The sequence below is a fragment of the Homo sapiens genome, chromosome 3 (assembly GCF_000001405.40).
Source record: "Homo sapiens chromosome 3, GRCh38.p14 Primary Assembly".
In the NCBI taxonomy this organism is placed as follows: Eukaryota; Metazoa; Chordata; class Mammalia; order Primates; family Hominidae; genus Homo; species Homo sapiens.
Genome location: NC_000003.12, coordinates 100042954 through 100059786, shown reverse-complemented (window position 1 = coordinate 100059786; position 16833 = coordinate 100042954). Strand labels below are relative to the sequence as shown.

Genomic DNA, 16833 nt, shown 5'->3' with positions numbered 1-16833 from the left:
TCTGATTTCTCTTGACAAACTGGAAGCTCTGACAATTCTAGGCCGGCACATATGGATGGTTCCAGTCAGCTGGAGTTGTGTAATGACTGACTTCTTCAGGCATGATGGGTCCTTTTCATTACAGTACAGTCCCAGTCACTACTCTGTCCTGCACTTGGCCCCCGCCTTCTGGCTCACAAACCTTCCTGGCTCCTAACGCTGTTTGAATCTTCAACCTCTGAACTACACCCTCTACCCTTGGAGGATAGAAACTTTGTCTTCATCTCCTCACCTCCTCAGGGCCTAGCACACCATTATTTAATAACAGGTGCTAAAAAAAAATGCTTCCTGAATGAAAGGAAGCAAGGCTAGAGTGAAGAAGCAGGGGAAAGCAGTGATGATCACGGAGATGAGGCTAAAAGCAAGCCACGGACAAGGACACAGGTGTGAAGCATTTTTCATTGTCTCAAAAAAGATGTCACATGGAAGGCTCGTCCCATTATAGCCTCAAATGCCAGAGATTTATAAAGCCCTTTAAGGAAAAAGAAAATTAAGAGGCATTGTATTTTTTAAAGGATAGCTTCCCAGAAACTGGACAGAAACAACCTAGAGTATCTAACAAAGCTCTTCAACTCCAAGTATATGTTTCTGTATCAACAGTGAAGTTAGTCAATCTGTTCTTTCTTTTAAGGAAAACCATGAAACTTTAAGCTTTACTTTGTAGTGCTGACTAGGTAAAAGAGAAATTACCCTAAAGGTAGCCTTTATTTCAAGTCTATCTACAAAATCTAAAAAGAAAAACACTGGAAGAGATGGATGTTACCAAGGACCTTTTCCTGAACTTGCACCAAATGCCTTCTCCATGCTGTCCAAACTGCCCCTTTGCTCTCAAATGCAAGTTAAGTTAGAAGATCAGAAAGAAAAAGGTTCTAGAATACTAAACACATCACTCAACTACTAAACTTTATTTTAAACTTCACATATGAAACTGTGGCTCCAGAAGAGAAGTCATGGCTTAACTCAGTGTTCTAACAAAGGAGGTTATACAGCGTCCTCCTTCTACTGAAAAGCCTCTGAGTGGGACAGTCAGGAAAAATGGGCCCTGTTGTCTGTTGATGCTTCTGGGTTTGAGGGTGTAAAATGAAGTCAGTTTGTGGTGAGGTGCTTGGGAATTTAGAGGAGAAAAAAAGCGGAGAGAAACTTTTCTCTTTGTCCACCAAGGGGATTTGTGTTTGAAATGAAAGTTGGAGGAGCAAAAGCTGAGCAAAGCTTTAGATTGGGGATGTGAGTATCTCAAGCTGCCGGGACAGAGAGGAGGTCATCAATGGGAAGCTTGTAGAAGCACCCAAGAACAGACTTGTGCCTCACTTAACTATGTGTCAACTTTTCTCTGCCTGCCTTCAGAGGTGATCTCATTTTACATTCCAAAGAATGACAATGGAAAATCATACCCGTTTATAAGCATCTGATTGTACAAAGTTTCATTCTGTAAGTAGGAGCTTATCACAGTTTCTAAAATCTCCAACTCTGTTCCGTGCCTTGAACATAGAACAGTATTCAGATGCCTCTTAATTTTCTGCCTGAGAGAGGCAGTAGGGTATAGAGAGTAATAGCATAGGCTCTAGAGTCAGACAGATAGGAGTCTCAGTCTTGGTTCTGCCAGTCAGTAAATGTGGAGCCCTAGGAAAGCTAGGTAACTTCCCCAGCCAGTTTCCTCAACTGCAAAAAGAAAATAAAAAATTGTGCATATTGCCTGGGATTACTTTGAGGCATGAGTGGGAGAATGGACACAAACACTTAGCATAGTACCTCACAGAGAGTCAGCCTCTAATAACTAGCTATTTTCATCAGACTCTCACGATGTCGAAAGATTTAGACAGTCAGTTAGTTGGGTAAAAGGTCATCAGGATCTTTGAGGAATACATAGAAGTTGGACCGGCATTGTATTCACAGTTGTTAATTCTAAACAAGGATGAGGGCAGTGACCCTGTTAAAAAAACCTAGGGTTTGAGTGATTTTTCCAGTAGCAGGGGTAGGTTATGCTGAGCCAGCCACGCTCACATCCATACCTTCTGCGACCAAATGCATGCATTTATGAAACACCCGGGCAAGCAGGGGGCTTCTCTGCATGAAACCAACTGTCCCATATGGGGCCTGATCCCAAAGCATTGGATTTCAACCAACTGAACTAACTGGTAACAGATAACCAAGGGGACATTCCCTGTTTGCAGGAGGGGAGCAGACTTTTACAGAGACATATCACGAGAACTTTAATAAGACGCAGAACACAAAATGCATTTTAGTGTTACCCAAGAACATGTAATGTTTCAGAGTTTGGAGAAACCGCAGCAACTCTGTCCATTCCAATTTATAAGCAGATTCTATAGCTTGAAAGGTCTGGGCTTTTATTGGCCTTTTTCCTTGATGATATAATGAGTATTTGAAACTGACATGCCTAAGGCCGGGCAAGAAGCTTGGCCTAGAGATCATGTCATCTTTCCTTAAAGTAACATCTCACTGCTTTCCTGGTTTCCTGCAGAAAGATTAGACTCTTGGAGAATAGTCACAGAATATTAGAACGGGACGGGTCTTTAGTCACCTAGTCCACTGGAGGGGCAGAGAAGCCACGTGGCAGGCAAAGATTATACAGCTAAATCCTGGCTCTGCCAGCACCAGAGCTTCTCTGACTGCAGGTCCAGGACTTTCCATTAAAATCTCCTGCCCTGAGCCTGCCAATCATTAGTTCTCTTACAGAGCTACCCCAAAGTTGTGGGAAAAATCACTTGCCCAATTCTTTTTTTTTTGAGACAGAGTCTCGCTCTGTTGCCCAGGCTGGAGTGCAGTGGTGCGATCTCGGCTCACTGCAAGCTCCGCCTCCCAGGTTCATGCCATTCTCCTGCCTCAGCCTCCCGAGTAGCTGGGACTACAGGCGCCTGCCATCACACCCGGCTAATTTTTTGTATTTTTAGTAGAGACGGGGTTTCACTGTGTTAGCCAGGATGGTCTCGATCTCCTGACCTCGTGATCCGCCCGGCCTGCCTTGGCCTCCCAAAGGGCTGGGATTACAGGCGTGAGCCACCGCGCCCGGCCCCATTTTTTTTTTTTTAATGGTCTAGAGCTGCTACCTGGTTGTGTGGCAGTCCAAAGCAATAAGACATTTATTGTTTCCAGCTGCCTAGAAACTCAACATTAGCTGTGTTAATTAGATTATGACAAACTTGTTAATCACAAGCAGATAAAGCCAGTAAGGGCTAGCAGCATTTCTGACCTGGAGGCTAAAATGTTAATGATATCTCTAGCTCAACAAGAGCAGATTATAAACTTTTGTTATCTTTGTATCACCAGGTAGTAAGCATTCAGTCACTGAAATTTATTTATTTTAATATGAAATCACTTTTGTTTAAAATAAGTATTTCTAGGCTGTAAGTTTCTAAAAAGCCTCCCATAGAAATTTAAAAAGTAGATGTAAGGTCTGGAAAATGTAACAATATTTATGGAAGGATGCATTGGAGACTTGTCAATTTATCAGCTGGAAATGTTGTGGGGAAATCCCAGAGCTGAGAGTCAGACTTGGTTCCTAGCCAGGGTCTTGCCACACCCTCAGCTGGTAATAATATTTGGTACCCTACCATTTTTGTAATGTAAAATGCACCTATGTAGCTTTCTTCTCTACTCCCTGCCTTCCCTTCCCTTCAGGCCCCAGCTTAAGACCTTGGTATACCATAGCTTGCACTTTTATGCTACTTTGAGCAAATATGAATCTTCTTTTACCTGTGTCTTATTTCCCCAACCAGATCAACTAGGCTATCCTTCTCTGAATGCCTAAGATTAAGCTTGGACTCCATACACAAGTGTTATCTATAATACAATCTATCCTATCAGAAAAATGAGGGTACTATACAGATAATCTTTGGACTCCTTGAAGGTAGTTATGAAAAACTTCATATCTACCCTTCATATTGTGGAAGAGTAATTTAATATAAACAAGAAAGAATGTGTACAATATTAAAAAATTTCTGAAATTTAAGGCTAGATTTTTCTCTAGCCTATCTCTCTTTTCTAAATTACTGGGATAATCACAAAAATTACTCTCCTCTCAAGAATGTTTGACTACTAAAGAACAGGGAAAGGAAGAGATTAAAATATAAATGTGAAAATGCACATATCAAAATGCTGGCTGTGGTTTTTAATCTAGGTGGTATAGCAATGGGTAATTTATATTTTTATCTTTGCATCTTTGTATATTTTCCACATTCAATGAACACAGGCTACTCTTATAAACTCTAAAATAAAGGTAAAGACAGTCTTTAGTATTTACAAATACTTAACGAGAGACAAATCAGTTTTTTTCTAGCATTAGACAGTGATTGTCACAGTGTGATAACATGTCCTAGGAATTTCCGAGAAGAGCATATGGCCACGTGGATCATACAGTCACCTTGATTTTCTATCGCCTGGATGGACTGAGTGTGCCAGTGATGTTGGGGATAACAGAACTAAGAGGTGTTCAGTAATGCTAAAGATACTGAGGAAAGCAAGAGAGACATTGTTCAGGATCCTCAGTGCTTGAGATGATACTCTTGTACTGGAAATCCTATGCATACACGAAGAAATTGATAAGAGTAGGACGAGGAGAACTGGGAGACCTGAATTGGGATAGGAGCTGCTGAGAATGTTCTGAAGGGCAGACCACGAGGACTTTGGTAAGAGTCTGAGGCAGGAGACTTCCAGAAAGACAACTGTGACCTGACAACAAAATACTATGGGCCAGGAGGTAAAGGGTAAAGCACGGAAGCAGAGATGATCAGCAAGAAGGCCCAAAAGAGGCTCTGCAAGCTGGGAAAGGGCATTCAGAAGTTTCTGGAAGGAACTATGTTGTGATTAATGAAATCCAAGCTTAACAGAATAACATGAGACTAAATTTGAAATGACCTCATACTTCTGAACATTTCAGTTTTTGCATCTGAACTCAACTGTGACACCAGTGATGGTGAGAGAGAGGGGGCAAGGTTACGGGATCCAGAGGCATTGTGATAGAAGTTGTGCATCTCATCCCAGGGCTTGAGGGTATTGGTGGGAACTGCTAAAAGACAGTGCAGCCCAGAGGGAAGGGAAATCAGTGATCTGCCCTCCTTTGATCCAGTTGTCCAGCATGGTTTCTTTGAGCCACATCTGCAAGATTATTCACGTTGTATTCCCAAGTCCTGGGCCAGGAGTGGATAGTTCAAATGCCAACAGGGGCAGGTAGGTAACAACATAACATGACATAACATAACATAACATAACATAACATAACATAACATAACATAACATAACAAAACATAACATAATATAATGAACGAAGCAGGTCAGACTGGCTCATGGTGCAGGCAAGAGTACGTGCTCCACTTGACGGGACAGCCACTCCCCAGCTCTGGCCAGCTACAAGAATGTAGGCCTAGGTTTTCCAGATCTGAGCTTTCAAGAAAAGCCAGATATCTCAATTTCTTTGTGAAATTTGCTATTACTAGCAACTAACTCATGTTCTTTCAAAAAACCATCAAGCAAGTCAAAGAGAACATATCAAGAGGGAAGGGGGAATGTGATGTCTCGGTTAGTTTGTGACCTTTGCTCTGAACCTCCTTCACAGTACAATGGCAACTTTGGTTAAGGAAGGGATTTAAACACTACATGCTATCTTGAAAGCACACAAATGTTTGACCCTTGGCCAGCTTTTACAATACTAGGGAAGCTCAAGTGGTAAAAGATTTGGAAATAATGTAGCTCTTCAAAGCCTTGGGGAGAATATTACATACTTTTAAGTAAGCCGAATGTCCAGATATACAAAGAACAAAGTATAGAATTTGGGAAGAAGTGTGGGCCAGAGTCAATGCTTGGAAACACTTGGATGCAATTTACTTTGATTCTAGTAGGAAGCTGCATATGAATAATGGAGAACAAAATCTGGCCCCAGGGGGCAGTTTTATAAAATAATACAGACTCAGCATGTGTTGTGGCAGTCACTAAAGAATTGATTAGTTAGGGTTTCTGTGGCTTTGGATAGATTTCCAGGTAAGAAAGATAACACAGTGAAAACAAACAGAATGCTCAAGTGTAGACCCCTAAATGCTCAGAGAAATGAGAGAATGTAGTAAGATTCTTACTGGCTGTACCAGGTTGAATACCCATTCTCCCCACTCCCCCAAATTTATGCACCTAGCAAAACCTGTGAATGTGACTATATTTGGAAATAGGGTGTTTGCTGACGTAATCAAGTTAAGATGAGGTCAAACTGGATTAGGGTAGGCCCCAATCCAGTGACTGGTGTCCTCATGAGAAGACAGAAATTTGGATACAGACACAACGAGGGAAGACAACTATGTAAAGACAGCGGCAGATTTGGGAGTTATGCTGCCACAAGCCAAGGAATGCCAAGGACTGTTGGCAAGCACCAGAAGCTACAAAAAGCAAGAAAGTATTCTTCCCTACGGCCTTTGAAGGAAGCATAGCCCTGCTGACACTTTGATTTCAAACTTCTAGCCTCTAGAACTGTGAGAGTATATATTCTTGTTATTATAAATCACCCAATTTGTGGTAATCTGTTATGGCAGTCCTAGGAAACTGTGTCTTTTCAAGACACTTCTGGGGCAGAAGGCTTGCTATGGTGAATTATACAATGACTTACAACTATGCCCCAAATTGGAGCAATATATAGGGTTTAAGAGATAAAGGCACAGGAAGCATACTGTCAACAAGGAGCACCCTTGTTTCAGGAGAGAATAGAAATAAGAAATAATGACTGGTAACCAAAGGGAGAGCAGGCGAACAACTCCACAGGTGATATACAGAGCATTTATCCCAGGGATGAACTAAATTTCATCTTATTTAGGGGAAATTATATATTACAGGTTTTAAAAATTCCTGTGAAAAAACAAATCCTAGAAAATAATAACAAGGCACTTAAGGATATTTACATATTTAAAAACAAGATCAAATATGAATTTATTTATAACTTTATCTTGTATCATATCCAGAAAGTTTACCTTATACAGTATATACTCAAACAACTGGTTTACATGAGGTTGGGGAAGGTACCTTCCACCTTGCCTTTGTAAAATTTTAGAATATACTTATCTTAAAATGTGGTTATAGAAAGAAACATTGCATTAACTTACCCATGGATTCTCAGTGTTAATACTTGCTCCTGAGCTATCTTCATGTCTCAGGCCCTCTTTCCTATACTAGCATTGAATTGCTAATGTATGCCCAAGAAAATGGAGGACAGACTTCATCAGTTTCACTTAGAGGTTCAGTTAATAAAACCACAATAATAACACAAATGGTGCCATAAGACCCATCCTCCAACTGGGTGCACTCAGTTCTAATAGGACATGCACACGGATACACCACTACCATCACCACCACTACTACCCCTCAGACCTTGGAACAAAAGTTCCCCCTGGAATTTTGGTGCAGAGAAGTGAATCTCTCATAAATGTGCCATTCAATAAGAAGGTTATTGCTCTGCATTAGTTTTTTATTCGTTTCTGGACTGTGCCATGTCTGCTCATGCAAAACTCCAATGGAGTGTATTAGTATAGCCCACATATGCCATAGTCAATTACATGTCAAGAAAAGCTTGAACTCATTTGCCTATTATAAGTGTGCATCATGGGGTCCTAGTCAGTTCTAAAGGAACTGAACTCTCAGATCACAAATTATGCCCATTAGTAGCCTAAATAACATGTGACAAATAACACATATGACATAATAATATAGATCATTTAAGGGTGAGTTGGTAAATTGCATGTGTTTCTTGCTTGAAATATTTTATATTTATCACATTTATATTTATGTATAAATACATAAAATATTTTATATAATATACTTCATATTATAAACATATATTTTAATAACACATATTAATAAATATATGACATATAAAATATATTACATTAAATTATATACTTATACTATAAAAAATATATATAATAAAATGTTTGTTTTTAGAAATATAAGCCATTGGCACTATTCACAATAGCAAAGACTTGGAACCAAGCCAAATGTCCAACAATGATCGACTAGATTAAGAAAATGTGGCACATGTACACCATGGAATACTATGCAGCCATAAAAAGGATGAGTTCATGTCCTTTGTAGGGACATGGATGAAGCTGAAAACCATCATTCTCAGCAAACTATCGCAAGGACAAAAAACCAAACACTGCATGTTCTCACTCATAGGTGGGAAATGAACAATGAGAACACATGGACATAGGAAGGGGAACATCACACACCGGGGCCTGTTGTGGGGTGGGGGGAGGGGGGAGGGTTAGCATTAGGAGATATACCTAATGTTAAATGACGAGTTAATGAGTGCAGCACACCAACATGGCACATGTATACATATGTAACTAACCTGCACATTGTGCACATGTACCCTAAAACTTAAAATATATATATATAAAAAGAAATATAAGCCATTGGTTTATATTATTAAATTTTGAAATAAAATTATTTACTACTCTTTCAGTCTTCTGGATTATTCTAATTGCACAGCATATATTGAGGTGGGTGTCCAAATGAGTTTTAAAAACCTGTAACAAAACAGAATATCGGAAAAAATAAGAAGCTGGACTCACAGAGAAGAATTGTGATCCATTTAAATTTCTGACTTATGGAAAGGGTTTCACTGATCTTAACAACTGTCTTTATAATAAGTATATATTATTCAAATGATGGTTTAAAAATAAATTTATACTAATAAAATATCACTTTTATGTGATTTCTCTATTGAAGGTGGGTATAAGATTGTTTGCAAGAAGAAACTGCTACCTAAAACATGTGAAAATAGTTTGGTAGAGGGCATTATAGAGCTGACTTTTGGATCAAATTCTTGAAGACTCTTCCACAAGGAGCCACTTCCATGCTCCCAAAGAATGTGTCTCACAGAGTTATCTTCCAAAGTTAAAGCCGCTAATTTAACAAAACCTGGGGGAGGCTGGGTGCGGTGGTTCATGCCTGTAATCCCAGCACTTTGGGAGGTCAAGGTGGGTGGATCACCTGAGGTCAGGAGTTCGAGACCAGCCTGGCCAACATGGTGAAACCCCATCTGTACTAAAAATACAAAATTAGCCAGGCAAGGTGGCGCACACCTGTAATCCCAGCTACTTGGAGGCTGAGGCAGGAGAATCGCTTGAACCTGGGAGATGGAGGTTGCAGTGAGCAGAGATTGTACCACTGCACTCCAGCCTGGGCAATAGAGCGAGACTCTGTCTCAAAACAAACAAATAAACAAATAAACAAACAAATTGTGGGAATTTACAGAGATGCCTCTAAAAAAACAGAAAATGACTATGATCTAATTTGGATCTTACCATAATCAGATAAGCATTCTATTTTAGCATTAAAACATTTTATAATCAATTTTAAGAGATTTAAAATTTTCATACTGAGCATTTCACATAAATCTAAAAAAGATATGGCTTTCTCTGATATTGCCCAAACTCCCTCTCTGTGTAAGTTCCTGACTCATTAGAGGGCACATTTAAAAATCACTCAGAGTTATAAGGGAGGTTAATACAGCACCACAGTGTCATATTTTTAAGAAGGATTCTTCTTTTTATTTATTGATCTATGAAACTGATCTACCAGAAATGCTGGTAAATAAACAAATTTTAAAAATTTGCCCCCGAACACTACCCCATGATGCCCTTAATAGATTCATTCCACAGGTGAGTCTGTGTGATTAAAAAAGCATGTTCCTTTTCACTTAGGCCACTAGGAAGCTTAGAGCTAAATAGTGATTAACTTCTAATAACCGTAAAGAACCACACAGTATATGGTCCTTTGAACAACTCAGAAGTTAGGGTCACTGACCCTCTGTGCAGTTGAAAATCGCATATAACTTTTGACTCCCCCCAAACTTAACTACTAGTAGCTTACTGTTGACCAGAAGCCTTATTGATAAAATAAAAAGTCAATTAACAAGTATTTTGTATGTTGTATATATATTATAAACAGTAGTCTTACAATAAAGTGAGCTAGAGAAAAGAAAATGTTAGAAGACAATCATAAGGAAGAGAAAGTACATTTACTATTTGTTAAGAAAATATATTTACTATTCATTATTCTTCAAGTAGGCTGAGAAGGAGGAGGAAGAAGGGTTGCTCTTGCTGTCTCAGGAATGGCAGAAGTCGACAGAGTTCAAAACCATGTTGTTCAAGGGTCAACTTATTTCTGTTTCTCACTATTATCTCTGGCTTTATATTCTAATCACTTTTATTCCCTCAATGAATTATTTTAATTTTCTGTACTGCATATGTTTTGGAAGTGAGGTATAAATAGATCAATCAATAAAAAGAAGACTCCCTCTTAAAAATATGACACTCTAGTGCCATATTAACCTCCCTTATAATGCTGAGTGATTTTTTAAAAAGCTCTCCCCAAATTAATCCTTCATCGACTTTGGTAAGTTCGGTAAGACCCTAGGGTTTCATAACAAGCTAGAAGAGCAATAGTCTAACCTCTAATCTTTGTTGAGTATGCTCAAACCTCAAAAACAGATGATAAATGAAACAAGAGAACAGTTTATTTGTTACCATGATTTATTGCCACGTTTCTATAATGTAGAGAAGATATGTGTTCCCAAAGGTATAACTTCAAATAGTAAGGAGAGAAGGTAAAAGAAAAAACAAGGAAAGAGAACTGTTTGCAATTGTCAGACACAAATTTCTACAGTTTTTTTCCAGTTAAATTCAGACATCGACTTTGTTTCTGGCATAAAAATTTTATGCCCTTTTGTTTGCTATACTCTTTTATTCATATAAGATGTAATCCATTAGGTTTGAAAATAGACAATTGTGTGTGTGGTAACTTTAATTCCATGACACAAACAAAAGTGCTTTTCCATAACTGTCCAAGTCCATATTTAAGCAATCAGTCTAGGCCATCATATCAACCTTATATAATTCTGCACAACAGATTTTTTTTTAAAGAGTAAAATACAATTTTAGAAGCAGAAAGAAAATGTCCTAGGAGAAAAACCTAGGGCTAGTTAGGAAAATCTGGAATCCCAGTCTTTGTCCATGTACAGGGGCTGAGAAACATAAAACCCACCTGGACTTGATTGCTTCCTTTAGTGAGATGTTAACAGAGTGGAAATGATTCCTGATTTGGCTTTTATTTTCCCTCTCTAAATGGCAGTCCAAAAAAGTGGTGCAAGAATCACCTGGCACCTCAATTACCATGCTCAGTTTCTCCCCTGACACTGTGTGGTGGGTTGTGTCACAATAACTTTGCACCCACAGATATGGCTTCAGGGTGGGCTCTGACTGAGATGGAGTGAGCTCCGTGTCACAGCTTGCCTCGGTTAGCCACAGCTGCAGGGAAGAGCTGGCTCTACTCTTCCTCCTCTTTCCCCAACTCACCCCAAGCAAATGCTTCAAGCAGCTGCCATACTTGAGGGCTGGCAGTGCCGAAGGCTCTGAAGGTCTGGAAAGGGGAGAAATGAGGGGCCTCTGGGACTAAAGCATAACCAAATTAAGGGATAAACAAGTGAGTTAACTTTAAGTCTATTGCTAGTTTTCCTAGTAAAATAAAGACAGTGGAAGGATTTGGTCTGGACCTATCTGTCCCCTTCCCTGAGGGCTGTTCAGCAGAGCTTGGGACCTGGTCATTTGTGGGGCAAACAGGGCCAGAATGCAGGAAGACAATGCAAGCACAAGTGGACTTGGATTGTGGCTGTTTGGCCCCTATATGCCAGCTTGCCTGGGACAGTCCCTTACTACTAATTTAAACCCTTTCACTTTCACAAGCTATGGCCCAGTGTTTCTTAGGAGGGTATATTTACACTATAGGAGGGACAATTCGTTCTTTCATGAGTCTGCTCAACTCACCATAGAAAATTTGCCTACTAAGTGCCAGAAGCTACCTCCATCCTATCATTTTTCGCCCACCCTGTCATTTTGACAACCAAAAATGCCTTCCTTTTTTTTTTCAAATGCCTTCTGGGGAGAGCAGTGAGGCCCAGACGCACAGCCACTGAATGCCCTGTCAGTTAAAAGAGGAAGCAGAGGCTAAGAGAGGTGAAATGATTTGATTGAGGCTATAGCTAGACAGTGGCAGGGGCATTGTTTCTTGACTTCACATACAGTGAGGCTTCCAGAAGGACAAAACTCTACTGTCTCTTGACAGACACCTGCAGTTGAATCACTGTTTGCGGAGGCATAAACTGCAGGGAAAGAATTTACATGTGGTAATACCAGTGTTTTATTTGTGGCCACTTAATCATTCGCAGTCAGTAGCTTTATGACCCTCGCTGGTTTCAGAGGTTATGAATAATAATGGTATTCTTTAAGGAGGACATGATACTTTAGTTTTTTTAAACACATAGAATTTGGAGTTAAGTCATAAAAGCTTTCCAGAAAGGAAGAGGAGAGTTGTCATTAATTTTTAAATGCATGAAGCTTAAAGAGGGATTTACAATAATAGCATCAATAAATATGCTTTGGAAGCACCTTTTCTTCAAGGAATTCAAAACCTTTTTTTCTTCTAAAAATGTTTAAAGATATATTGTTCTCAAAAGAAGAAAATAACAACACTTCCCTCCGATAGTTTTTACTAGTTTCACTTCCTTAAAAGCATTTAATCCTGAAAATAACCCTAGAAAGGTAGGCAGAGAAAGTATTATACCCATTTTACCAACAAGGAAATTTAGGTTAGAAAACTTCAATGGCTAAACATTTAGCAGTTTTGGACCTTCAAAACCTGAGGACAATACCCTTTACATTTTATCTTGAAAACTCAAGTCGGGAGCACTGTTGATAGTCAATTATTATATTTACTTAAATAACAGCCTCTTTCTCCATGATTTAGGAGGAAATATTTTTTCCCTCTACCTAATTACTCATGGTCATTTGTTCTGCCTACCAACAGTAGTCCTGAACCATGGAAAATAGGAAAACTGGGTTACTTGGCCACTCACCACTCACTGAGCACTTACTATCTATTAGGCCCTGGCTGAGGTATTGAAGATACAAAGGCTAATCAGACCTGGCCTTATCAGGTTTGAAGGGTTCAAAACCATCTTGAGAGCATTTTGAGTATTTTTCTCACTTCTGTCAGCGCTGACTTATTTCTATTACCTGGAGCTGAGATGGCCAAGTGGTTGGTTGTGATTTTGCCCAGGCCAGGTCATTCCCTGTAATGACAACAGGACCCCTCTTTTGCTAACCTCTCTCCTCACAAAAACATCAACAACAACCAATTGTAACAACAATCCCAAATCCTGGGGGGAGTTGGGGAATTCTAGATTTATAATCTCTGTATATACAACAAGCTCTAGAGATAAAACTATGATCTACCAGTTAGGCTACTACTAGTAAACTTAAAAAAAAAAAAAGGTTGTTTACTTTCAGTGACAACTTTGAGAAATAGGTGAACAACCTGATACTTTTAACTACATTGCCAAATATAAAAATAATTCTGCAAATTCTGAATTTCCCTTTTTAAGACATGTCTGAGGCATAAGGAGGAGTGGACTATCTAGAATTAGGAATTTTCACAACTCTAAAGAAGTTACTGGATCCAAACGCTGGAATATCCTGGCCCTGATCAGTTTCAAGTATTCAGGATTAGATTCATAGAGTTATCAGTGCCCTGGGAAATTTGATGAGCCTGTTATTGAGAATACAGCTATTTAGCTGTGAAGCCTTGGGGGAAAACCAAGCAGTCATCATGTTACAATTCCTCACTATTCTCTTGCCTCTCCATACCCTTTCCTTAAAAAATAAACAAACAAAGCAAGCATGTGGCAAACATGTTTCCATTTTTCCACCAAGAATGCAGATGTGACAGCTTCTTCCCCTTCCCTTCTCTCATCCACCCCAGCTCCGCCTCCTCCCCCTTCCCCAGTGACCTCATCCCTGCGCAGAAAGGACACCAGCTGCAGGGAGGGTCAGACTCCACCAAGTGGGATCATTATCATCATTAGGAATGCCAAGAAGCCCAGAAGGCCTTGCTGACATGTGCAATGTGTTACAGCTTTCTGTGGTTTCCCCACATTCACAGCAAAGCTGCCGTCTGGAAATGTAAAGGCTTTGCCTTCCTAAAAATAATGTTACCAGAAGAATATTTAGACAGATATTTCTCAACAAATCAATCAGTCACTGCAGCAGCAATAATGAGAACCCACCAAGATGAAGAACCTGGGGGCAGCCTCAGAAATCATTTGGGTCCAAATGTCCCATTTAAGATAAATGAAGTCCCCTGATTTTTCAGGGGGAGAATTATAGGAGGTGTTTGCGAGAGGAGGGATGCCTGGGAATTAAAAATTACAAAAAAAAAATTCTAACACAGCAGCACAATGAAAGCTAATGGTTTTATCTCGATTTTATACACATATTTTCACAGATTTATGTTCATTCCTTTATTCACTCTTTTCCACTCTCCTCTTTGTCAATTAGTGCTAACTCAGAGAATAAGGCTGTGAGATTTTCCTAGACATAGTAATAATGGCAATTACCATATATTGAGTGCTTACTATGAGCTAGATACTGTGCTATGTGCTGTACGCATCCCTTTCAACCTCTTTGCACAGCTAGATCATTACTTCCAAGTTATAGATGCAACAACTAAGGCTTCGAGAGGTCATATTCGCAGCTTTAAATATAATCTATAAACTGTTATCCAATTTATATTTCTAGCCTACATCTCTTGTGAGCGCCAGATCTGTTTTTACAATTACCTGCATACCATCTCCCCTTGGATATATCACAAGCATCTCAGATCAAACATGTTCCAAACTGAGCTTAGGATCTAGTCCTCTCTACGCCCAGGCTAGACTCTCCTCTAAATGTTCTTAACTTCAGGAAACAGCACCTCATATCAGAAAAATGGAAGTCATCAGAGACACTACTATTCTGCAATGTCACCAAAGCAGAGAGCCACTAGTCCTGTCAGCTCTACCTCCTAAATCTGTTTTGGAGCCATTAACCACTCCATTGACTGCCACCATCATCTCTCACCTGAAAAATGGCACCAGCCTTTTTCACATTGGTTTCCTTCTCTCATCTACTGTGTGATGAGGTACAATAATCAGAGTGATTTAAATACAAATCAAGTTTTTACCTCATTAAAAAAATCTTTCAATGGTTACTCATTGCTCTTAGAAAAGACCAAGATTCTTGCCAGTGCCTATAAGGCCCTGTATAATCTGGCTTCACTACCTCTGTATCTTTCTACTTCCCTCTCTTTCACTGGGCTCTAGTCTAGCTTGACTTTTTTCAGTTCCTCTTTTGTCTCAAGTTCCTTCCTGACTTGGGTTCTTGGAGCAAGCTGTCCTTTAGCCTGTGATGCTCTTGTATACTCTGTTTGGCTAACTCCTACTCATTCTTTGAGCCTCAGCTTACCTATTGTTTCAAAAATAGTTTTCACTGCCCCCCTTGACAGATTACCCCTGTGTTACTTCTTTATACTATGATGTAAATACTTATTTAAATATTTATTTTTCACTGGTTTCCCTAACTAGAATATAAACTTCATTAGGGCAAAGACCATGTCAATCTTGTAAACAACTGCATCGCTTGTGCCCATCACAATGCCTGGCACATAGAAGACGCTCAATCAAAATTTGTTAAATGAATAAACGAGGCAAGTAACTGGCTCAAGGTCACAGGATTTGAACCCAAATCTCAATGTGTCTTGTTCTAAAGCACATTCCCTTTTAAAATCTTGCAAAGCAGGACAGAGTTTGTCATAGAAATATGGTATATACACCCAATGAACTACTAGCTAGCCTTCAAACAGAAGGAAATTCTGTCCTTCCAACAACGTGGATGGAACTGGAGGACATCATGCTAAGTGAAATAAGCTAGGCACAGAAAGACAAGTATGTATGATCTCATTTCTATGTAGAATCTAAAAAGCTGATCTCTATTGCACTGCATAATGACTACAGTTATTCAAAATAACATACTGCATATTTCAAAATTGCTAAAAGGATAGATTTTTAATGTTCTTGTCACAATAAAATAAGTTGGTGAGGTGATGGATATGTTAACTAGCTTGATTGATTCTTTCTATAATGTATACAGAGATTAAAATATCACATTGTATCCCCTAAATATACACAATTTTTTGTCATTTTGTAAAAAAAGTTTTAAAAAATAAATTCAACATATCATAATCACCTTCCAGGGATGTAAATTTCTCAAGTCTCCATGTCCTAACTGACTCAAATGGATGGCTAGTTAGATGGTTAAAAGGAATAAAGTCTGGGAGTATGGTAGGATGGGGTGGAGCCTGTCTCCCACAGCAAATGAGACATAATAAATACCTACTGGCCTGCAAAAGTAGTCAAAAATAGAGAAGTGAGAGTATGGATGAGGGAAAAGAGACCTTAGAGACTGCTGAGCTGCTATAAGCCTCAAGAAAATGAGATTCAAGAACGAAGGAAACAAATATTTAATATAGCTGAAAAGAACAGAGACAGAGAGACTTTCAAAAGACAAAATATAATCTTTCAAAGGGGAATAAAACTTACTGGACATGATTTTCTGCATATATTTTCTCTTTTCCTTACTTGTATGTACAGAGAGCAGATAAGGCACAACACAGTAAAGAATGAAATACTGGATATGCCTGAAGAAAGCCTCTCTGAGCTTTGAGGACTGGGGAGTACTTCTTGTCAATTTGAGACACAGGATACTTGTCTCCATCATTATAATTCAAAAAACATTCCCTGCTCAGGGGGTCTGTCACTGATCTTCACATTGAGGTAAAGAGAGATGAGCAAAGAAGGCTGTGACCAGCACAGGCTATGTTAGCCCTTTATCCCTCTTGTTCTGCGAATGCAGTCATTTTCTTCCACAAACA

The 16833-nt window shown here is 39.3% G+C and overlaps 2 protein-coding genes across 5 annotated transcripts in view, besides 1 other annotated feature; one reads left to right on the top strand and one right to left on the bottom strand.

The window, feature by feature from the left end:
• Window positions 1-16833, bottom strand: part of CMSS1 (cms1 ribosomal small subunit homolog) — a 363871-nt gene that overhangs the window by 121946 nt on the left and 225092 nt on the right. The gene's annotated exons all lie outside the window — the stretch shown is intronic.
• Window positions 1-16833, top strand: part of FILIP1L (filamin A interacting protein 1 like) — a 285691-nt gene that overhangs the window by 54715 nt on the left and 214143 nt on the right. The window lies entirely within an intron of this gene.
• Window positions 11939-12028: an enhancer, noted in NCBI's record as "active region_20150". NCBI's record gives its function as "activates an Ori minimal core promoter by ATAC-STARR-seq in GM12878 lymphoblastoid cells {active_cell/tissue: GM12878}" and the evidence as "EXISTENCE:reporter gene assay evidence [ECO:0000049][PMID:35858748]".